Source organism: Homo sapiens, chromosome 1 (assembly GCF_000001405.40).
Source record: "Homo sapiens chromosome 1, GRCh38.p14 Primary Assembly".
Classification (NCBI taxonomy): Eukaryota; Metazoa; Chordata; class Mammalia; order Primates; family Hominidae; genus Homo; species Homo sapiens.
The window spans coordinates 43,737,045-43,760,962 of NC_000001.11; the positions used below are offsets into that span (position 1 = coordinate 43,737,045).

Genomic DNA, 23,918 nt, shown 5'->3' on the forward strand with positions numbered 1-23,918 from the left:
GCAGTTGAAGGGCTTACATTGATCAGCACCAGCCTTTGCACATTGTTTTCTTGGCTGTAGCTTGAAATATCACACAGTGACCATAGTGGTTTTCTTTTTGGTTATTTTGTCTGACTGTTATCTGAGCTTGGTGTGGGAAATAGTATAAAATCAGAACAGAGTGGCCTGTTTTGACCTGCAGTGATATGTCTTCTCTTAAAATAGTTTTATTTTTACTAACATCTACCAGATACCAGTATAGAACTCACTTGAGAAGAGAGTCAGTCTCTAGGTACAAGGTGAAAGTGAGCTGCAGTGAGTGGGAAGAAGCAACGGGCAATTGGCCTGCTGTTGTTCTAAGACCCTAACATGGGAAGTATTACAGTGAAGTAGCTCATTTATTTCTCCCATGGCTCAAACTACTGAGGCAGTTTCAAGCCAGTTTTTAAAATATAGTGTTATATCCTTAATTTACTGTTTTATATAGAATATTTAAGTGCCTTTTAAATGCTTAGCTTATAATTATCACTAATTACTTGTGTTTCAAAAGTTTACTTAAATTTCTCTGCACTGACTTATTTTTAAAACCAAGGAGACTACCCAGGATAAGGAGTGTTTGTATCAGTGAAATGCAGAATTCTGTATTTAGAGGCATTCATTGTCTGTATTGGTAGTGGTGGATCCATCTCTATCAATAATTTAGATGGAAATGTGTGTGAAGAACAAGGGTCTCCTTTTCCGCTAAGGGCTGCTGACCTGTAGAAGATATAACCAAGGATCAGATAAGATTTTCCTAGATCAGTAGGGAAGGGAATTAACTTTATGGAAGACTCATTGTGTTTCAGGCATTAGGCTAGACAATTTACAAATATAATTTCATTTAATGTAATTCTTACTGCAGTTTTGTGAAGATGCCATTATTATCCCCATTTTCCAGTTGAGCAAACTGAAACACTTTAATTTACCAAGGTTATATTGTTGGAACTGGAATTCAATTCCTGTCTTTAAAACCTATGTTCATTATTTTATTGAAAAATATAATAAATACTGAAGGCAGAACTTAATTTAATATTCTACCTGGTAAAAAGAGAGAGAGAAAGGGGCTCAGAGAAGTAATAGTAGAGAGTGTCAGGAAGGGGGTGTGAAAAGAAAAGGAGGGAAAGAGAGAAAGTTATCAAAAGAAGACAGAGAGGCTTATTAGGTTTGAAGGTGACAAGCTGCTATTCACTTGGGCCGTAGGCTTCAGAAGTTTATTGCTAGTTATCTGCTGTCCTTTCCATTAATTGTTAGCTGACTAACCAGTATTTATAGCTTTTCTATTCTGACTCCTAAGCCTTTTAGATGTTTGACTTTGAATAGGTTGTTTAGACCATCTGACCAAAGCATACTATTTTATGTGCTGTAATATCAGAGAACAGAGTAATAGGACCCACCCTGCATGGCTTACTAAATCAGACGGGTCCTCTTTGTTTTTTTTTTGTTTTTTTTTTTGAGATGAGGTCTCACTCTGTTGCCCAGGCCAGAGTGCAGTGGTGCAGTCATAGCTCACTGTAGCCTCAACCTGCCAGGCTCAAGCGATCCTCCTACCTCAACCTCTCGAAGTAGCCGGGACCACAGACTCACACCACCATTCCTGGCTAATTTTTGTGTCTTTTGTAGAGATGGGGTTTAGTCATGTTGCCCAGGCTGGTCTCAAACTCCTGGGCTCAAGTGGTCTGCTTGCCTTGGCTTCCCAAAGTGGTGGGATTCCAGGCATGAGCCACTGCGCCCGGCCGGAGAGGAGTCCTTTACTTAGAGTCAAGCTGAAGGAGCATCACAACCCCAAAGACTGTTATGTTGTGAAATTTAGGCTGTGTTTTAATAATACTGATGATGATAAGATGAAATAGTAATTTATTGATTACTATATCTACTATATGTCCGTAAGATAGCAGGGTCTTTATACTCGGAATCTCATTTGATCCTCATAGTTTTTATTGGTTATTATTATCCTCATTTTACAGATACAGAAACTGAGGCTTCAGAGAGGCTGTGTAATCAAGAGTTTGTATGCCTTTCATCTGAGGAGGTTGAGGACAATCCCAAGTTAGAAAAATAAATGTCTTTAGCATTATTTTTCCTTAATGTTTAGAATATTAATAAGTTACTCAGATAATCTATTGGAATTTCTTCATGGCAGGGGGAAGAGGCTAGAGTTGGTTTTTGGTTTTTGTTTTTGGCACAGGGTCTCACTCTGTCACCCAGGCTAGAGTTTTGTGGTGTGATCTCGGCTCACCGCAGCTTCAACCTCCTGGGCTTCTACCTCAGCCTCCCAAGTAGCTGGGACTACAGGTGTGCACCACCACGCCCAACTAATTTTTCAAAATTTTTTTGTAGAGATGGGGTTTCTCCACGTTGCCTAGGCTGGTCTCAAACTCCTGAGCTCAAGTGGTCTTCTCACCTCAGCCTCCCAAAGTGCTGGGATTACAGGCATGAGCCACTGCACTTGGCCTGAGGCTAGAGTTTTTATTATTATATTATTCATTCAGTAAGCAGTATGTTCTTATTATGGTCCATGTACTGTTCTGGGTAAACTGGATATAAGATGAACATAGGCCTTCATACTCTTAGCCTATAATATGAGAACAAAACACAACAATTATTATAATATACTGAGTTCTAAAAGAGCAATCTGTGTGAAATGCTGTGTTGGAGCATAGGATTCCTTCCAGAGAGAAAATTTATGTTTTCATTAATTCCAAGGTGTATTGTAGAGGGCTACAAACTGCTTTGTCTTGGGTAGTTTAGAGACACTTGTGACCTAGGCTTGGTCAGGTTGCCAAGACTTGAGTCAAATGCTTAATGTGAAAAGCTTCAAGTATGAAAATAGTCTAGTTATCAACCTGTTTTAAAAAGTAGTGTAGAATTATTATACATGTAGTATGATAAAATATGTACGCATACATATATTTTTAATATATATTTTAATTAATGAACAAATCACCAGTATCTGGAGTTAGAAGGAGTTGGGTGTGCTTGATTCTTCATCTCCAAAATGAAGATAAAAGACTTATTTCTTGGCCGGACACAGTGGCTCACACCTGTAATCCCAGCACTTTGGGAGGCCGAGGTGGGCGGATCATGAGGTCAGGAGATCGAGACCATCCTGGCTAACATGGTGAAACCCCGTCTCTATTAAAAATACAAAAAATTAGCCAGGTGTGGTGGCGCGCCCCTGTAGTCCCAGCTACTTGGGAGGCTGAGGCAGGAGAACCGCTTGAACTCGGGAGGCAGAGGTTGCAGTGAGCCTGGGCCACAGAGCAAGACTCAGTCTCAAAAAAAAAAAAAAAAGACTTATTTCTCTTTGCTCTGATGCTTTATTTAGGTCAGTACCTTGTATAGGAGTCGGGTAGTTGCCTCTTTGCAATAGCCCTTATTTCACAATGGTTCATTTCATGGAAGCCTTGCATATTTTTATTAATTTAAAATTTTACTTATTTCTGCTGGGTATGGTGGTTCACATCTGGAATTCCAGCACTTTGAGAGACTGAGGAGGGAGGATTTCTTGAGGCTGGGGGAATTATTTGAGGCCAGGAGTTTGAGACCAGCCTGGGTAATGTCACGAGGCCTTGTCTCTACAAAAAAATTAAAAAATATTATCCAGGCATAGTGGTGCACACGTGTACGGCGAGTGGTATAGCTACTCAGGAGGCTGAGGTAGGAGGATCACTTAGGCCCAGGATTTCAAGGTTGCAGTGAGCTATGATTGTGCCACTGTACTCTAACCTGGGCAACAGCATGAAACCTTGTCTTAAGAAAGAAAGAGAGAGAGAGAAAGAGAAGGAGAGAGGGAGTGAGGGAGGGAGGAAGAGGGAGAGAGAGAGACAGAGAAAGGGAGCGAGGAAGGGAGGGAGGAAAGAAGGAAGGGAGGGAGGAAAGGAGGAAGGAAGGAAGGAAAGAAGGAAAGAAATTCATTTCTAATTAATAAAGTAGATCTTTCATAGGATTAGTTTCCTGTGCTGTGAGACCTTTAAAAATTCATGACTGGGTGAGGTGGCTCATGCCTATAATCTCAGCACTTTTGGAGGCTGAAGTGGAAGGATTGCTTGAGCCCAGGAGTTCAAGACCAGCCTAGGCAACATAGGGAGACCCTGTCTCCACAGAAAAATAAAAAAAATTAGCTGAATGTGGTGGTACATGTCTATGGTGCCAGCTACTCGAGAGGCTGAGGTGGGAGGATCGTTTGAGCCCAGGAAGTCAATCAAGGCTGCAGTGAGCTGTGGTCACGCCACTGTACTCCATCCAGCCTGTGTGACAGAGTGAGACCCTGTCTCAAAAATGTTTTAAAAATTAAATTCATGCTACTGTGTTTATCAATTATTACAGCTCCCTTTGTGTTCTTCCTCATATTTATAAAAGATTATAACCAGATAAATTATAAAATATGCATTCAAATTATAAAGTACACATTGTTGATCTGATTGCCCTGGAGAATACTCTCTGGCACAAAAGCGGAAGTTGGATCTGATATTAGGAGGACAGGTTGAAGTGAGTTTAATAGACGTAGGACATTGTATTAACTCTTAGTTTTCTGTCTTAAAAATGAAGAGGAGGCTGGCATTTCTGGCCATGTTTCTGGCCTCTGGCTTAGGGAGGTACTCTGCTTCCCATGGTAAGGAAGTAAGTGGTATCAGAACTAGCCTCCTCTCTATAGGAAGCTATAAAACTGGACAAAAGAAATGAAGCAATTGTGTCAGCCTGTAGACAACAGGCAGCGTAAAATTTCAGTTCCTAAGAGAAGGAAAACTCGAGGTGAGCGCCACATTTGCTCAGTTTTCTGTCTGAGGACGGTTTCCCAACCCTGTTCTGTGAGTGGAGTCTAAACAGGCTGTGATGATTTCCCCTGAGCTGAAGAGGCAGAGGTCAGAGTTTGGGCAGCTGAAGCAGTTGGAATCTGTGGGGTGGACCATCATAGGGTAGGGAATTGTTCAGCAAGAGGGTCTCAGAAGTCTGTGGGGGCATTCCTGTGAGGCTGAAGCTAAGGACTGGCCTATTATTTATACATGGGGTGAAGCCACCTGAAGCTTACCATATAGACAGCAGCTGGTACAGGATGAATAGAAAAGAGATACTGGAGGTCAAGTCCTGTTGGGGTGAAAGCAATGCCAGGAACGCTGATGGTCCAGCCCTACCAGTAGAAAGATCTCATTAACACTTTGTTAACACCCCTGGCGTCCAGCTGAGACCCCAGACAGGCCATGCCTTATGAATAAAGATCTTACCCAAGAGTAAGATCTACCGTAGACCCGCCCTAACAAGGCCTAAAGCCAACCCCCAGCAAGACAGATTTCAAAGTTTGGGTCTTATCAAGAGAGGTCAAAAATGCCATGGGCTTTCCTCAGATCCACACTCATGATGCATAAAATCAAGACCACACAAATTCAGGGCCGTCAGGTAGTCATTGAACCATCTGCTAAAATACAAATTGACACTCTTCATAGGAAGATAACAGTATTCATAGTTTTTATGTGTAATATCCACAGTGGCTAATGTTCAAAAAAAGTTACTAAGACATGCAAAGAAACAGGAGAATATCCATATTCAAGAAGAAAAATCTATGGATAAGATGGCCTCAGTGTTGCACTTAGCAGACAAAGTAACTATTATGAATATATTTAAATAATTAAAGGAAAATACAGTAGTGAACAATGAGTAGTCTCAGCAGAGAAATGGAATCTATAAAAAAGAACCAAATGCAAATTCTAGACCTGAAAAGTGTAGTAACTGAAATGGAAGTTTCACTTAACAGCAGATTACATAAAACGGAAGAAGCCCATGAGTTTGAAGAGAACACAATGGAAATTATCCAGTCTGAACCACAGAAAGAAAGATCGAGACCATCCTGGCCAACATGGTGAAACCCTGTCTCTACTAAAAATACAAAATTTAGCTGGGCCTGGTGGCACGTGCCTGTAGTCCCAGCTGCTTGGGAGGCTGAGGCAGGAGAATTGCTTGAGGCGGAGCTTGCAGTGAGCCGAGATCGCGCCACTGCACTGCAGCCTGGTGACAGAGCGAGACTCCGTCTCAAAAAAAAAAAAAAAGACAATTGGGCAGGAAAAAAAATAACATTTTATTTTTTGAAAATTAATTTCCCATACTTACTCATCTGAAGGAAAAAAAAATAAATAATGGCTGAAAACTTCCTAAGTTTGATGAAAACCATTGACTTACAGAACCAAAACAGAGCCCCCTTATAGAGCCAACCCCAAGAAAGATAAATATTGGGGGAAAAAACCTAGGTACATCATAGTTAGACTTCTGAAATCTAAAAATAAGGAGAGGCTGCTGCTGGTGCTGCTGATGAGCTCATTTGGTGTGGACATGGTGCCTCTTTAGTGAAGCAGCAACTGATATCTCTGGTGTTCCCTGTGGCCCATGAAATGCCAAGAGAGGTGTCAACACTTAAGAGCAACGATCATACTAATTTGAAGGTGGTGGGGCAGATTGGTTCTGTGGTGCAGTTTAAGATTAAGAGGGATACACCATTTAGTAAACTAATGAAAGCTTATTGTGAATGAGAGGGTCTGTCAGTGAGGCAGATCAGATTCCCATTTGACAGGTGGCCAATCCATGAAACAGGCACACCTGCACACCTGGAAGTGGAAGATGAAAGTACCATTGCCATGTTCCAGTAGCAGACAGGTGTCTACTACAAAGGAACCTGCTACTTTAGTCCAGAACTCCATTCTTACAGAGCAACAATACATTCTCAGTTAGAAAACTGCAATTTGGTTCTGCCACATCCTGACTACTACAGTATAGTATTCTCTATTCTTTCATTCCCCCCCCCCCCATTCCTATATTACATGTAGAGTAAGTGGTGTGTGTACACACGCATATTGTACTTTTAAGAAAACAAAATGGCCAATGGTATGTTTTGATTACCATCAAATGGATATGGGATGGGGAAAGATACTGGTTCTGTGAAAATACTCTTTCTCCATTAGTGGCATGCTTATCTTTATATTCCAGTAACTTAATTTCCTCTCACTATTTCAACAAAAAAGCCAACATGAAAAATCCTTGCATACCTTGTTTGATTGGAGAATTTTAATGTTTTTTATTTATCATCATAAAACCAAAGACAGTTTTACAATTTTTTGTATGTAGGTGTTTCATATAGAGAAGTCTGTCTTTAAGGCGGGTAATTACTCTTAAAAATGAATCCTAGTTTTTCCTTCAAATCAAGCATCTTCTTTTTTTTTTAGACAGAATCTTGCTCTCTCGCCCATGCTGGAGTACAGTGGAGTGATTTTAGCTCACTACGACCTCCACCTCCTGGGTTCAAGCGATTCTCCTACCTCAGCCTCCCGAGTAGCTGGGATTACAGGCACCCGCCATCATGCCCAGCTAATTTTTGTAGAGACGGGATGTCACCATGTTGGCCAGGCTGGTCTCGAACTCCTGACCTCAGGTGATCTGCCCGCCTCGGCCTTCCAAAGTGCTGGGATTACAGGCGTGAGCCACCACACCTGGCGGCATCATCTTCTTTAAATAAACTTCTCGTTTAAAAAATAAACAGTGAGCTTGCAGTGAGCCAAGATTGCACCACTGCACTCCAGCGTGGGGGACAGAGCGAGACTCCCTCTCAAAAAATAAATAAATAAATAAATAAATAAATAAATAAAATAAAATAAAAAATAAAATAAAATATAATAGCCTGGCGTGGTGGTTTATGCCTGTAATACCAGCACTTTGGGAGGCTGAGGCAGGCGGGATCACCTGAGGTCAGGAGTTTGAGACCGTGAAACCCCATCTCTACTAATAATAATACAAAAATTAGCTTGGCGTGATGGCATGTGCCTGTAATCCCAGCTACTTGGGAGGCTGAGGCCTGAGAATCGCTTGAACTCGGGAGACAGAGGTTGCAGTGAGCCAAGATCGTGCCACTGCATTCCAGGCTGGGTGACAGAGTGAAACTGTGTTTGAAAAAAAAGAAAAAAGAAAGAAAGAAAGAAAGAAAAATAGGCTCATGCCTGTAATCCCAACACTTTGGGAGGGCTGACTTAAGGTCAGGAGTTTGAAATCAGCCTGGCCAACTGGGCTATACAGGAAAGATGAAGACCACTGGAAATGGTAAATGGTAGGCAAATATGACTCTCTTTCCTTCTTCTCATAACTTTCTTAAAAGACAACTAATTGTTTAAAGCAAAAATAATAACCCAGTAAAGTGAGATTTTGGACATATGTAGAGGTAAAAGATATGTCAACACTTGCATAAGGGATGGGGGATGGGTAAATGTAATTTTACTGTACAAGGTTATATTTGTGAAAAAAGAAGTAAGTGGGAAACAAGAATGTTTTATATAAAGTGAGAAAAGGAAAGGGTAAAGTAATAAATATGAAATGTCAGATTTGAAGAGGTATTATACTGACTCTAAATAGACTGATAAGTTAAGGATGAGTATTGTTAGCTCTAGAACAACTACTTAAATAACACAACAAAAAGAGACAAACAGTCATACACTGCATAGCAGCATTTTGGTCAGTGACAGACCACATATGCAAAAGTGGTTCCGTAAGATTATAATATCATATTTTTACTGTAGCTTTTCTATGTTTAGATATGTTTGATTGATTGATTGAGACAGAATCTCACTCTGTAGCCCAGGCCAGAGTGCAGTGGCATGATCTTGGCTTACTGCAGCCTCCGCCCTCTGGGTTGAAGCAATTCTCATGCCTCAGCCTCCCGAGTAGCTGGGACTACAGGTGCATGCCACCACACCCAGCTAATTTTTCTATTTTCAGTAGAGACAGGGCTTCGCCATGTTGGCCAGGCTGGTCTTGAACTTCTCACCTCAATTGATCTACCTGCCTCAGCCTCCCAAAGTGATGGCATTGCAGGCATCAGTCACTGCGCCTGACCTAGATATGTTTTGATACGCAAATACCATTGTGTTACAATTGCCTACAGTATTTCAGTACAATCACATTTCTAAATACACTCTATGATATTTGCACAATGACGAAATTGCCTAACAGCGCAGTTCTTAGAATATATCCCTGTCGTTAAGTGATGCATGACTATATCTGAGAAGCTATCAGAAGAAATAAAATGGAATACTAAAAAATATTTAGTCAGTCCCAAAGAAGGAAGGAAATTTTGACACATGCTGCAGCATGGGTGGACCTTGAAGGCATCATGTTAAATGCGTAAGCCAGTAACAAAAGGACAAATACTGTAAGATTCCTCTTATACGAGGTTCCTAGAGTAGTCAATTCATAGAGACAGAAAGTAAAACATGGCTGCCGGAGACTGGAACAGAGGGGAGCGGAGAGTTCAATGGGTTCAGAGTTTCAGTTTATAAGATGAAAAGAGTTCTAGGGCTGCATGGTGGTAATGGATGTACAACAGTGTGAATGTACTTGATGCCACAGATGTGTAAACTTAAAATGGTAATTTTTTTTTTTTTTTTTTGAGATGGAGTCTCACTCTGTCACCCAGGCTGGAGTGCAATGGTGCAATCTCGGCTCACTGCAAGCTCCGCCTCCTGGGTTCATGCCATTCTCCTGCCTCAGCCTCCCGAGTAGCTGAGACTACAGGAGCCCGCCACCACATCTGGCTAATTTTTTGTATTTTTAGTAGAGATGGGGTTTCACCATGTTGGCCAGGATGGTCTCAATCTCCTGACCTTGTGATTCACCTGCCTTGGCCTCCCAAAGTGCTGGGATTACAGGTGTGAGCCACTGCGCCTGGCCTAGTTTTTGTTTTTTTTTTTGAGACAAGTCTCACTCTGTCACCCAGGTTGGAGTGCAGTGGCGCCATCTCGGCTCACTGCAACCTCTGCCTGCTGGGTTCAAGCAATTCTTTTGCCTCAGCCTCCCAAGTAGCTGGTACTACAGGCATGTGCTACCATGCCTGACTAATTTTTTTTGGTTGTTTAGTAGAGACGGGGTTTCACCATATTGGCCAGGCTGGTGTCAAAATCCTGACCTCAAGTGATCCACCTGCCTCAGCCTCCCGAAGTGCGAGGATTACAGGCGTGAGCCACTGCGCCTGGCCTAAAATGGTAAATTTTATGTTGCATTATCTTACCACAATAAAAACGTAAAACAAAAAAATGAGGCCGGGCACAGTGGCTCACGCCTATAATCCCACCACTTTGAGAGGCCAAGGCGGGCAGATCACCAGGTCAGAAGTTCGAGAGCAGCCTGGCCAGCATGGTGAAACCCCATCTCTACTAAAAATACAAAAATTAGCCTGCCGGACATGGTGGCACGTGCCTGTAATCCCAGCTACTCGGGAGGCTGAGGCAAGAGCATCGCTTGAACCCAGGAGGCGGATATTGCAGTGAGCCGAGATCATGCCACTGCACTCCAGTCTGGGTGACAGAGTGAGACTCCATCTCAAACAAACAAACCAGCCAGAGGCAGAGATACCTGGGGTGAAGGATGGGGAAACGGGCCCAGGGCTTCCATGCTGTCTCCAGGCATGCCACTCTCCCGCACCTCCACGTGTTCAACGGTCTGGGAACTCTGCAGACCCCATAGCTCAGGGATTTTTTTTTTTTTTTTTTTTTTTGAGATGGAGTCTCGCTCTGTTGCCCAGGCTGGAGTATTATCTCCAGCCTGCAATGGCACCATCTTGGCTCACTGCAACCTCCGCCTCCCAGGTTCAAGCAATTCTCCTGCCTCAGCCTCCCGAGTAGCTGGGATTACAGGCGCCCACCACCACCTCTGGCTAAGTTTTGTACTTTTAGTAGAGACAGGGTTTCACCATGTTGGCCAGGCTGGTCTCAACCTCCTAACCTCAGGTGATCCGCTTGCCTTGGCCTCCCAAGGTGTTGGGATTACAGGTGTGAGTCACCATGCTTGGCCAGCTCAGGGATTTTTATGGAGGATTCGTTACGTATGCAGGATTGACTAAATCACTGGTCATTGGTGATAAACTCAACTTTTAGCCCTCCAAACACATTGTTGGTTCCCCTGGTAACCAGCCCTCATCCCGAGGGACTGTCCAGGAACCCACTAAGAGTCACCTCATTAGAACAAAAAATGCTCCTACCACCCAGGAAATCCCAAGGGATTTAGGAGCCCTGTCTCAGGAACTAGGAGCAGAAACCAAATATATATTTCTTACTATATAACAATATCACACAATATATAAAACTCAGTTGCGTTTCTATATACTGGAAGCACACAAATAGAAAATAAGATTAAACAACATTATTTGCAATAGCATCAAAAAAATAAGATACTTAGAAATAAATCTAAACATATGCAAGACCTCTACACTGAAAACTATAAAAATACTGCTGAGAGGAATTAAAGATCTAAAGAGATTAAATAAAGACATCTAAATAAGGAGAGATTTATGATGCCTATGTATTGGAACACTTAATATTGTTAAAACAGCCCCCATTTTTTTTTTTTTTTTTTTTTTTGAGCCAGAGTCTGGCTCTGTCATCCAGGCTGGAGTACAGTGGCAGGATCACAGCTTACTGCAGCCTCAACCTCCCCAGCTTAAGCAATCCTCCTGCCTCAGCCTCCTAAGTATCTGGGATTACAGGCATGCCCAGCCAATTTAAAAAAAAAATTTTTATAAAGACAGGGTTTTACATTGTTGCCTAGGCTGGTCCTGAACTCCTGTTGTCAAACAGTCCTCCCACCTTGGCCTCCCAAAGTGTTGAGATTACAGGTGTGAGCCACCTTGCCAGACCTGTTTTTAATTTTTATGTTTTATTTTTGCAGAGATGAGGTTTTGAGTTGTTGCCCAGGTTGGTCTTGAACTCCTGGCCTTAAGTGAAGATCCTCATTCTTTCAAGATTGATCTATAGATTCATGCAATCCTAATTAAAATTTCAGCAGGCTTAAAAAAAGAAATCAATAGCTGATTCTAAAATTTATATGAAAACACAAAGAATCTAGACTTTGGAAAGTAGAAGTTAGAGAGCTTACACTACTTCACTTCAAGTCTTACTGTGGTAATCAGGACAATACAGTATTGGTGAAAGATCAGTAGACAGAATAGAGTCCAGAAATAGACCATGCATATGTAGTCAATTGAATTTTGATAAAAGTAATAACATAATTCAGTGGGATAGGGAGTCTTTTCAATATACTCTGGTGCAATAACTAGATATCTATATAGAAAAATAAGGAACCACAATTCCTACCTCACACCATATACAAAAATCAATTTTAAGTGGATCGTAGACCTAAGTGTAAAATTTATAGAAAAGGAGAAAATCTTCATGCTGTTGTGGTAGCACAAAAAGCATTAACCATAAAAGAAATATTTATCAATTGTATCCATTGAGATTCTTTCTGCTCTTCAAATTGTTCCATCAAGTAAATAAAAAGCAAGCCACATGCTGGGAAAAATATTGACAAGATACATTGGGCAAAGGACTTGGATCCAGAAGATATAAGGAACTCTTACAACTGAATAAGGAGGCAAACAACCTAGTTAAGGAGTTGACAGAGTACTTTTGGGAGACCAGGTGGGAGGGTCACTTGAGCCCAGGAGTTCAAGATCAGCCTGGACAACACAGTGATACCCCATCTTAAACAAACAAACAAAAAAATGAACAACAAAAAGAAACTGACAAAGGACTTGAACAGATATTTCATACAAAAAAAATTACAAATGACTGATAAGCACCTTGCTATGGTTTGAATGTTCTTGTCCCTTCCAGAAATTCTTGTGTTAGAAACTCAATCCCCAGTGCAACAGTGTTGGGAGATGGGACCCTTTGGGAAGTGATTGGGTCATGAGTGCTCTGCCCTCATAAATGAATGAATGCCATTATAAAAAGGGCTTGACAGAGAGAGTTTGGTCCCTTTTTGCCCCTTCTGCCTTCTGCCATATGAGGACACAGTGTTTTTCCCTTCCTGTGGATGCACCGTTTTAAGGTGCCCTCTTGGAAGAGAATACTGGGGCTTTTCCAGACACCAAACCTGCTAATGTTTTGATCTTTGACTTCAGAATCTCTAGAACTATGAGAAAATAAATTTCTTTTTTTTCAATATAAATTACCCAGTCTCAGGTATTTTGTTATAGCACACAGAGTGGATTAAGACACACCTCAAAAGATTCATCATCATTAGACGTCAGGGAAAGCAAATTAAAACCTCAGTGAAATGCCACTTCACACCCATTAGAATTGCTGAAATTTAAAGATTAGCATGCTTCAACTTAGCAACTCTCTTGTGTTTTCAAATGGAGTGTAAAATGGTACAACCACTGTGGAAAACAATTTGGCAATTTCTTTTAAAGTTCAGCATATGTTTAGTACATGACTCAGCAACTCATACTTCCCAAGATAAATGAAAACCTTTGCCTACAAAAAGAGTTGTAAACAAATGTTGGTGGCAGCTTTATTAACAATAGCCAGGTACTGGAAACAACCTAAATTTCCATCAGTAGGTAAGTAAAACAAATATACACCTTAGACAAAAATAAATTTCAGCTAGATTAGATATTTAATTATAAAGAACTAAATTAAAGTACTAGAAAACAATAAAGAATATGATATTGGGGTTGAGAAAGGGATTTTATTCGCTTGATACCAAACCATAAAAGAATGAAAAATGTTATCTTTTGGCCCAGCACAGTGGCTAATGCCTGTAATCCCAGTACATTCAGAGGCTAAGGCAGGAGGATCTCTTGAGCCCAGGAGTTTGAGACCAGCCTAGGCAATATTGGAAGACCCTGTCTCTACAACAAGTAAAAAAAAAAAAAAATTAGCCCAGCGTGGTGGTGTGCACCTGTAGTCTCAGCTACTTAGGAGGCTCAGTGAGCCATGTTCATGCCTGAGCTGTGCTCACGCCTCTGCACTCCAGCCTGGCTGATAAAGTGAGTGAGACTTTGTCTCAAGAAAAAAAAAAAGCTATCTTTTATTAAAACTTCTGTTTTAAAAAATTCTCTAGAAATTCTAAGCAAAGTTAAGATGAACAACAAGCCAGGAAAAATATTTTTGGTATATATGACAGAGAGATGATATTCTTAATATATATAAAGAGCTTGTATAAATTGGAAAAACCAACACTTAAATAGAAAAATTGATAAAATGCAGGAACATCTTAATTTCACAGAAGGAAAATTATAAGTGGTTAGTGTTTATTTACAAAAATATTCTCACTGTTTTTTAAAGAAATACAAAGTATAAAAGAATGATGGTACGTAATTGTTATTTTATTTTTCCATATTGGCAGTACCTTTCATGCTGGCAAAGAGTTTAGAATTATAATGCCCTGTACATGCATAAGTAAACCATTATTTTTATATAATATAAGTGGGTTCCTGGAAGGCAATATAATAGTGTGTATTCAAAAGTATAAATATACATGCCTTTTGATCCATCAGTTTTACTTCCTAAAGAAATACAGAACAAGCATGCACAGATATATGTACAGGTGTGCACATTGCATTGTTTATAAGAAAAAAATGGAAACAATAAAAGATTGAGTAAATAAATAATGGCATGTCCATTTGACAGATACTCTGCAGCCATTGAAATGGCTAAGGTAGATCTTCATATACTCCTACATGAAGATGGAAAGTATATAAGGATGATCTTTTTCACTTACATACACACAGAGACACACTCAAATGCATATGTATACAGATAGGTCAATCCCACACTTTATTTGTAGGAAGCTCAAAATCAACAGCAGTAAACATTAATTGGCAGTTAGAGTATTCCTGGCGTATTCTGTGTCAGGTCTTTGGGATAGAAAGATGAATATAGGCCTGTCCTACTCTCATGGTCGTTATAATCTAGCAACCTTACGAGGTTGTAATTGGTTACATTTTTTTTTGTTCTGTTTTTTTTTGAGACGGAGGTTCTCGTCACCCAGGCTGGAGTGCAGTGGCGCGATCTCGGCTCACTGCAACCTCCACCTCCGGGTTCAAGCGATTCTCCTGTCTCAGTTTCCTCAGTAGCTGGGATTACAGGCCCTGCTACCACACCCGACTAATTTTGTCTTTTTAATAGAGGCAGGGTTTCACCATGTTGGTGAGGCTGGTCTCGAACTCCTGACCTCAGGCTATCCTCCTGCCTTGGCCTCCCTAAGTGCGGGGATTACAGGTGTGAGCCACTGCGCCCGGCCTAAATTTTTTGAACATTCAACTATGTGCTTGGAGCTCACAGTGTTCTAAAGCGCTTTGCATGCATCATGTTATTTAATCTACTAGGTATGTTTGATAGTATTTCCACATTTTACAGGTAAGGCTAATGAGGCTCAACAAGTTAATGCCTTTTTTGAGATCACACTGGTAAAGTGGGGACTGCTCTTGTTCCATTTTGCAGGTGGGAAAACAATTTTAAGTGGGTTGATCACTAACAGAGACAAAGCTTTAACTAAAGGTTTCCTGTCTTCAAAGTTTGTGCTCTCAGTAACAATACTTGATATCTGAAGCCCCTGATTCACCCACCTGTTTCATAGACTAAATATTTTTTCCTTGGCTCTTCTTCCTCACTTATTCCCTCACAATATTTTGTTTGTTTGTTTCAGACAGGGTCTCGCTCTGTGTCCCAGGCTGGAGTGCAGTGGCACAATCACGGCTCACTGCAACCTCCACCTCCTGGGCTCAAGTAAGCCTCCCATCTCATCCTCCCATGTGGTGGTTGGGACTACAGGTGCACACCACCATGCCTGGCTAATTTTTATATTTTTGTAGGAGTGGGTCTCACCATGTTTGCCCAGGCTCGTCTTGAACTCCTGGGCTCAAGCGATCCTCCCACCTCAGACTCCCAAACTGCTGGCATGAGCCACCACGTCCAGTCAACAAGTTTTCTTGACTATAGCAAACTTTAAGGCAAAAAACCTCTTGTTCATCTAATTTCACTTTTCAGTAGAGAAAGAACTGGATGATAGAGATGGACTGTCTCTCTACAAACAAATTTTAGAGGATTATGTATAAATCTTTAAAAGATTATTCATATTTGAACAGTAACTCATATATGCCTTGAGACCTTGTAATTGGAAAATTAAGTCAGAAATCTTATTGATGTAAATATGCATCAGTACTCATTGTAAAGGTTATAACTAAACAATTTACAGAAACTGAACTAATGGCTAAGCTAACTCAAATTTATAATTTAAAAGCAGTAACACAGTGGGACACCATGTCCAATTCAAGACAGCACTGATGGCACACTGATAACAGAGTATATTCCAGAGAACTGTAGGGACCCTGTACACGCGTGGGCATGAGTTAGAGCTGCTGTGCAGTGCAGTTGAATATTGCCTGGTGTGCAGACTGCTTAATGAAATAGTGGTATAGGGCTCAGAGTACACTCCAGTAAAGTGCTATTTTTGGTTTTACCTATAGCACATTTTTGTAACTCAGTAATTTATTTTGTGGGTTTCTAGTAACTTAAGTAAGGCCTAATTGTAAATAAAAGTGAAAGTTTGTGGATTCCATGTCGTGTGTCACAAAGAAAGACTTGCATTTTTGGATCAGTTTATAGGCCATTGTAAGAACCCATCAGTAGGCTGTGGACCATACTTTGAGAATCACCACTTGTTCTGAGAGGGTATGTGATGGTGGGAGGAATGCAGACAGGTCTCAGTTCCCTCCCTGCTGCTCTCTATTACTTTTTCCATCCTTGCTGATGTCATGTTCTAAACTTCATGTTACTGTAATCTATTCTAGACTGCTGACCTTTGTCAGTGGCTTTCTCCCTCTTTGACCTGATGAAAGTTCCTCCTGCTTCTAATGAGCTGCTCTTTCTGAAGGGATTCCCCTAGCTGGGCCTCTGGTATCCCAGTTCTTTATATCATAGCCTTCTCAGGATTCATAAGTGCCCTGGGTTAGGAGGGCTGCAGCTGGGTTGAAGGATGCTCAGGCACACCCTCCTGCTGGACCTGGAAGGGCTGTACTCCCTCCCGCCCAGATCCTGCTCCTGCCTTGGTCTACTCTCAGGTAACTTACTGTCTCCTCTCTCTCCAGTCCAGCCACCTTCACAGAACGTCAGTTCATTAGAGAAATCTGTACGTATATGCACCAAAATTATGGGCTAGCTTTATTTCTCACTGTAAAAAGGAGAGGGTCTTGCTCTCTCAGGTATTAAGATATTCTTAGAGCCATACAATTAAAAATGGTAGTGTTGTGCTAAGACAGAAAAAGTAACCAATTTAAAAAATAACTCAGAGACAAAACTCATGTATAATAGGAATTGTGTTTGTTTGCTTTTTGAGACGGAATCTTGCTCTGTCACCCAGGCTGGAGTGGTGCAGTGGCACAGTCCCGGCTCACTGCATCCTCTGCCTCCTAGGTTCAAGGAATTCTCTTGCCTCAGCCTCCCGAGTAGCTGAGATTGCAGGCACCAAGCACCCCATCCGGCTAATTTTTGTATTTTAGTAGAGACGAGGTTTCACCGCGTTAGCCAGGCTGGTCTCTAACTCCTGACCTCAAGCAATCCACCCACCTCAGCCTCCCAAAGTGCTGGGATTACAGGCATGAGCCACCACGCCAGCATCATGTATAATAGGAATTTAGTAGAACGTAAAGATGGCACCACAAGTCGAAGGAGAAAGGGCATACAGGCTCGTTGGATGAAGCTGAACAAAACTGAGTCCATCCCTAACTCCAGGTACAAGTGTAGAATTCAGGCAGACTAAAGATTTAAATGAGACTGGTAAAATTAGAAAGTAACCAAGAAAACAAAAGATTATCTCTGTGGCTTGGTGCAGCAGCACTTCGGGAAGATGAGGCAGGAGGATGGCTTGGACTTTGATACCAGCCTGAGCAGCATAGTGAGATCCCACCTCTACACAAAATTACAAAATTAGCTGAGTGTAGTGGTGTGTTCCTGTAGTACCAGCTACTCGGGAAGCTGAGGTGGAAGAATTGCTTGAGTTTGTGAGGTCAAGGCTGCACTCCAGCCTAGGTGATAGAGCAAAACCCTGTCTCAAAAAAAAAAACATAATAAAAGATTATCTTTGTGAATTAGGTATCTAAGGGAAGGACTAAACAAAACCTTAAAGGCAAACATTGTAGGCAAAAAGTTGATGAACTTGTTTAAATCTAATTTAAGGATTTTGTGCTATTAATGACATCATAGACATGGTTAATACACAGATAATTTACTGGGAGAAAACATTTTCAATGTTTAAAATTCTCAAGGAATGTACAGGGAATTCCTGCAAATCAAGAAGAAAAAGAACAACCCCAGTAGAAAACAGGCAAAGAATTAGAACAGACAGTTTACAGAATAAGAAACCCATAATGCTAAGCATATGAAGAGATAGTCAAACTCATGGGCTATAAAAATATTCAAATTAAAATAAGATGTTTTATATCTCTTAGACTGATAAGAAATTAGAAAGCTAGATAATGTCACGTGTTGGCTGGAATGTGAGACTATTGTAACTTATATCCTTTACTGGTAGAAAAGTACATTGGTACAGCCATTCTGGAGAGCACGCTAGCAATAATTAATCAACTTAAGTATACACATATGCTTTAGCTCAGCAAGTCTTTTATTTATATTCCACAGAACTTACCAGAAACATGCATTACTTGTGAACCCAGTGAGTTAGAGGATGAATGTATTTCCTTCCTGGGGTGGGGGTTCAGTAGGCAAAAAGTAGGGTATTTATATCATCAAATGATATGCAGTTGTTAGAAATAACAGACCAAATATACAAAAACTATATGGACGAGACTTAGAAAACATAGTTGGAATCAAAAAGGAAGCAGAAACACAGTTTCACTTAGGTAAATTAGAAAGATACAGACAAAGGTTTTTAAGGATACAAGAAGCATGAACCATAAAATTAAAAATTGATAAACTTTACCAAAATTAAAAATATTGGCCAAGCACATTGGCTCCTAGTGCTTTGGGGGGCCAAGTTGGGAGGATCACTTCTAGGAGTTTGAGACCAGCCTGGGCAACATAGTGAGACACCCATCTCTACAAAAACTGAAAATAAAAAATTAGCCTGGCATGGTGGTACATGCCTGTTGTCCTAGCTACTCAGGAGGCTGAGGTGGGAGGATCACTTGAGCCCAGGATTTTGAGGCTGTAGTGGGCTATAATTGCACTATTGTACTCTAACCTGGTAGACAGAGTGAGAACCAGTCTCAAAAAAAAAAAAAAAAAAGAAGAAGAAGAAAAGAAAAGGAAAGGAAAAATAAAAGGAACAAACTTGATACATATGACATAATAGATAAATATCAAACTAACGCTGAACAAAAGAAATCCTACATTTAAAAAAGTACATATTGTATGGCACCATGTATGTGAAATGGAAACTAAATTAGTAACTTAGATCAGTATTTATCTGGGGTGAAGAGTGAAGGGAGGGAGGGATTGCAAACGGACACAAAAAATTTTTTTGGGATCAGTGGAAATGTCCTTTACCTTGATTGTGATTTTATGTATGTGTACAACTTTCAAAACTTCAAATCATGTACTTTAAATTGATGCAGTTTATTATATGTAAATTATTCCTTTATAAAGTTGATAAGAAAAAGCACATGATATAAAACATAAATGTATTAAGAGAACATAAACTATATATGTATTGTATACACACACACACACACGCACGCACACATTAAACAAAATAGAACGGTTGCCTTTGCAGGAGGAGAGACATAGTGAAAAGGGAGAATAAAAGTGAAGACTTGATTTATATTATTTCCATAGGGTTCATTGCAACTCACTTGATATGGTTGGATAATTGTTTCTGTATACCTATACATTCCATGATGGTTAGAAGGATGGCCCATCTAAGCACAAGGAGTAAGGCCCTCTAGGGAGCAGAATGGCCAAGATGTTCACTAAAACCTACAAAAGATTACTGTGGGAAATTAAAGAATATTGAAATCGACATACCATGTTCATGGGTCAGAAGACCTATTAATGTTACTAAATCTCCCCAATGTGTTTTATTTTATTTTTTGAGGCAGGGTCTCGCTCTGTCACCCAGGCTGAAGTGCAGTGGCGTGATCTCAGCTCACTGCAACCTCTGCCTCCCGGTTCAAGTGATTCTCCTGGCTCAGCACCCCCAAGTACCTGGGACTACAGGCACCCACCACCACGCCTAGCTAACTTTTATATTTTTAGTAGAGATGGGGTTTCACCATGTTGGCCAGGCTGGTCTCAAACTCCTGACCTCAAGTAATCCGCCTACCTCAGCCTCTCAAAGTGCTGGGATTACAGGCATGAAGCACCGCACCTGGCCCCCAATGTGTTTTAAAATGCAGCACATTCTCTCAATCAAAATCCCAGAAGGCTTGGGTTTTTTTGTCTTTAAAAAATTTTTGCTTTGGTAGAAATTGAAAACTGATTTTAAAACTTATATAGAAATATAGAGATTCAAGAATAGTCAAACCATTTTGAAAAAGAACAAAGTTGGAGGGTTTACATTACCTGCTTTCAAAACTTATCATAAAGCCAGCAGCAATCAAGATAGAGTGGTACTGGTATAAAGATAGATATATAGATCAATGAGACAGAAAACAGAGCCCAGAAATAGACCCACACATATATGGCCGATTGATTTTTCACAAAGGGGCCCAGGCAATTCAAAGGAGAAAGTATAGTCTTTTCAATAACTGGTTGCACAAAAACAAACAAAAGAACACTGATTCTTATTTCTCACCATGTACAAAATTAACTTGAAATGGATCATGCAACCTAAACAGAAGAGCTAAGACTAAAAAACGCATAGAACAAAATATAGGAGAGAAATGTTAGTGATTTTGAGTTTGGTAAAGATTTCTTAAATAGGGCAGAAAAGCATAAAAAAAAACATTGAACTTTATCAAAAGTAAAAACTTTTGCTCTTTAAACAACACTGTTACAAATATTTAAAGGCAAGCCACAGCCTGGGAGAAAATATTGTGAAACATCTACAACAAAGGTCTTGTACTTTACTGTTGTACTTTACTAAGTCAATAAAAAGTCAAAACAAAGTCAATACAAGACAAAGGTCTTGTACCTTACTATTCAGTAATAAGTAGACAAAGAGCCAGCTAAAAATAAACAAAGATATGTATAGACACTTCACCAAAGTAGACATACACATGGCAAGTAAGCACTTGAAAAGATTCTCAGCATCAAATTAGTATTAAATGCGAATTAAAACCACAATAAGACACTACTCTTATACTATACTATACTCCATTGGCTGCATACCACCCCCCCCCCCAAAAAAAAGGCAGTATCATCCAATCAATATTTGGCATTATAAAAACAGAAGAATGGAACTATACTACCAGTTAGTAATTTAAAAACAATTTTTTTAAGACATGGTCTTGTTCTGCCACCCAGGCTGGAGTGCAGTGGTGCAATTATAGTTCACTGCAACCTCAAAGTCCTGGGCTCAGGCAATCCTCCCACCTCAGTCTCCTGGGTAGCTAGGACTACAGAAGTGTGCCTCTATACCTGGCTAATGTTTTTAAATTTTTTGTAGAGACAGGGTTTTGCTATATTGCCCAGGCTGGTCTTGAACTCCTGGCCTCAAGTGATTCTCCTTCCTTGCCTCCCAAAGTGTTGGGATTACAGGCATCAGCCACCGCACCTAATCTTAATAATAAAATTTAAATTGAGAGACAGCATTAAGATTTAAAGTATTTTTCTTATATCCTTTGGTGGGTCAGTTAAGTATGTTGATAAACTTAGACTTTTTTCAGTTAATTATGTAGGCTAAAGATTTCTAGGTCAACCACAACAAGAATAGAAAGTATGTAAAGTGCATAACTTAAAAACTAACTAGAAGAGGTCAGGCATGATAGTTCACACCTATAATTCCAGCACTTTGGGAGGCTCAGGCAGGAGGATCATTTGAGGCTAGGAGTTCGAGACCAGCCTGGGCAACATAGCAAGACTCTGTCTTTACCAAATAATAATGGTAAATAATTTAAAAATCAGGCAGGCGTGGTGGCGTGTGCTTGTAGTCCTAGCTACTCAGGAGGAGGCTGAGGTAAGAGAATCAGTTGAGCCTAGGAATTCAAGATTGCAGTAAGTTATGATCATATCACAGCCCTCCAGCGTGGGCAACAGAGCGAGACTGTCTCCTAAAAAACAAACAAAAGCGCGCGCACACACACACACACACACACACACACACACACACACACACAGAAGGGGATATATAGTGATGAAAAAAAGGCATGAAACTCAATAAAAGAAAAAACTAGGCTGGGCGTGGTGGCTCACGCCTGTAATCCCAGCACTTTGGGAGGCCGAGGCAGGTGGATCAGGAGGTCAGGAGATCGAGACCATCCTGGCCAACATGGTGAAACTCCACCTCTACTAAAAATACAAAAATTAGCTGGGCGTGGTGGCATGTGCCTGTAATCCCAGCTATTCGGGAGGCTAAGGTGGGAGAATCGCTTGAACCTGGGAGGTGGAGATTGCAGTGAGCTGAGATCACGCCACTGCATTCCATCCTGGGTGACAGAGCGAGACTCCATCTCAAAAAAACAAACAAACAAAAAACAAATGTTGAGGGAAGAGTCCAGCACTTAATATCTGAAACATAAAGCTGAGTGTATTGGTAGTTTAAGCAAGAAGAGCTGTGCTTATAAGACTTAGTCTCTCTGAGCAAAGCAGAGAACTACTGTCTTTTGTAGAGTGGTTATTAAAGTTTGGTCAAGTGTATTTTGGTTGCCTGTTGCACTGTGTTGGCATCTGCACTGATGCTACAAAGCGATGGCAGGTAAAGCTGCTTGCCCCTTAGCACAAGTCAAATCAGTAGCACTAAACTGCTATTATAGTTGTCATTATATTTCTCACTGCCACACGTGGTAGGAAATAAAATGAAGCCAATTTTACTTAAAAATGTTATTGACGAAACATTTAATTTCATGAAATCTCAATTTTTGGATATGCGTTGTTTCACTCAAAAACGAATGTCTACTCAGGAGGTTGAGACAGAAGGATCACTTGAGGCCAGCCTGAGCAACATAGTGAGAACCCATCTCAAAAAAAATGTGGTGATGAAATGGGAAAAATACGCATAAAACACTACCACTGCACACTGAAGCTTTATTGTTGCCCCAAGGAAAAGCCCTCATGGTATGGATTGTTTGTACTACAAGCTGAACTAGCTGCTCTTTTGGGGGTACCATTTTTACTTGAAAGAAATGATAGACAAAGTATGGTTATTTAGACTGGGTTTTGACAGACCTTTTCTCAAAGATGAATGAAGTAAGCCTGTCACTTCAAGGGAAACCACTGGCAGTATTTTTTTGCAGTGAGAAAACTCTGGCTTTCAAGTGAAGACTAGAATTCTGAAAAACTTACATCTGCTGCCATAAGCCTGACATCTCAATATTTAAACACTTGTCTGATACAGTCAGTAGATATATTAACAAATGAGATTTTTTGATATTTTATAACGAATGTGAAATCATTGGAAGATGTGTATAACTCAGTGAACCCATAATGCGCAAATGACTACTGTTAGGATGTTACAGAATCATGCATGGATAAAAGATCTATTCAGGCCAGGCGCAGTGGCTCACGCCTGTAATCCCAGCACTTTGGGAGGCCAAGGCAGGTGGATCACGAAGTCAGGAGATCGGGACCATCCCGGCTAACACGGTGAAACCCCGTCTCTACTAAAAAATACAAAAAATTAGCCGGGCGTGGTGGTAGGCACCTGTAGTCCCAGCTACTCGGGAGGCTGAGGCAGGAGAATCGCTTGAACTCGGGAGGTGGAGGTTGCAGTGACCTGAGATCATACCACTGCATTCCAGCTTGGGTGACACAGCAAGGCTCCGTCTCAAAAAAAAAAAATGTTGATAGCACTATTATTTCTTGTAGCCAAAAAGTGGAAACAACTCAAATACACAACAGCTGAAGAAGGGATAAATAAAAAAATAAAATGTGGTATATCCAAACGATGGACTGTTCTGCAATAAAGAGGAATGAGATACTGATAATGCTACAATATGGATGAGCCTTGAAAACATTATGCTGAGAGAAAGAAGC

The 23,918-nt window shown here is 40.6% G+C and overlaps 1 protein-coding gene across 57 annotated transcripts in view; it reads left to right on the forward strand.

Moving 5' to 3' along the window:
* ST3GAL3 (ST3 beta-galactoside alpha-2,3-sialyltransferase 3) overlaps positions 1-23,918 on the forward strand; it is a 223,624-nt gene that overhangs the window by 29,509 nt on the left and 170,197 nt on the right. The window lies entirely within an intron of this gene.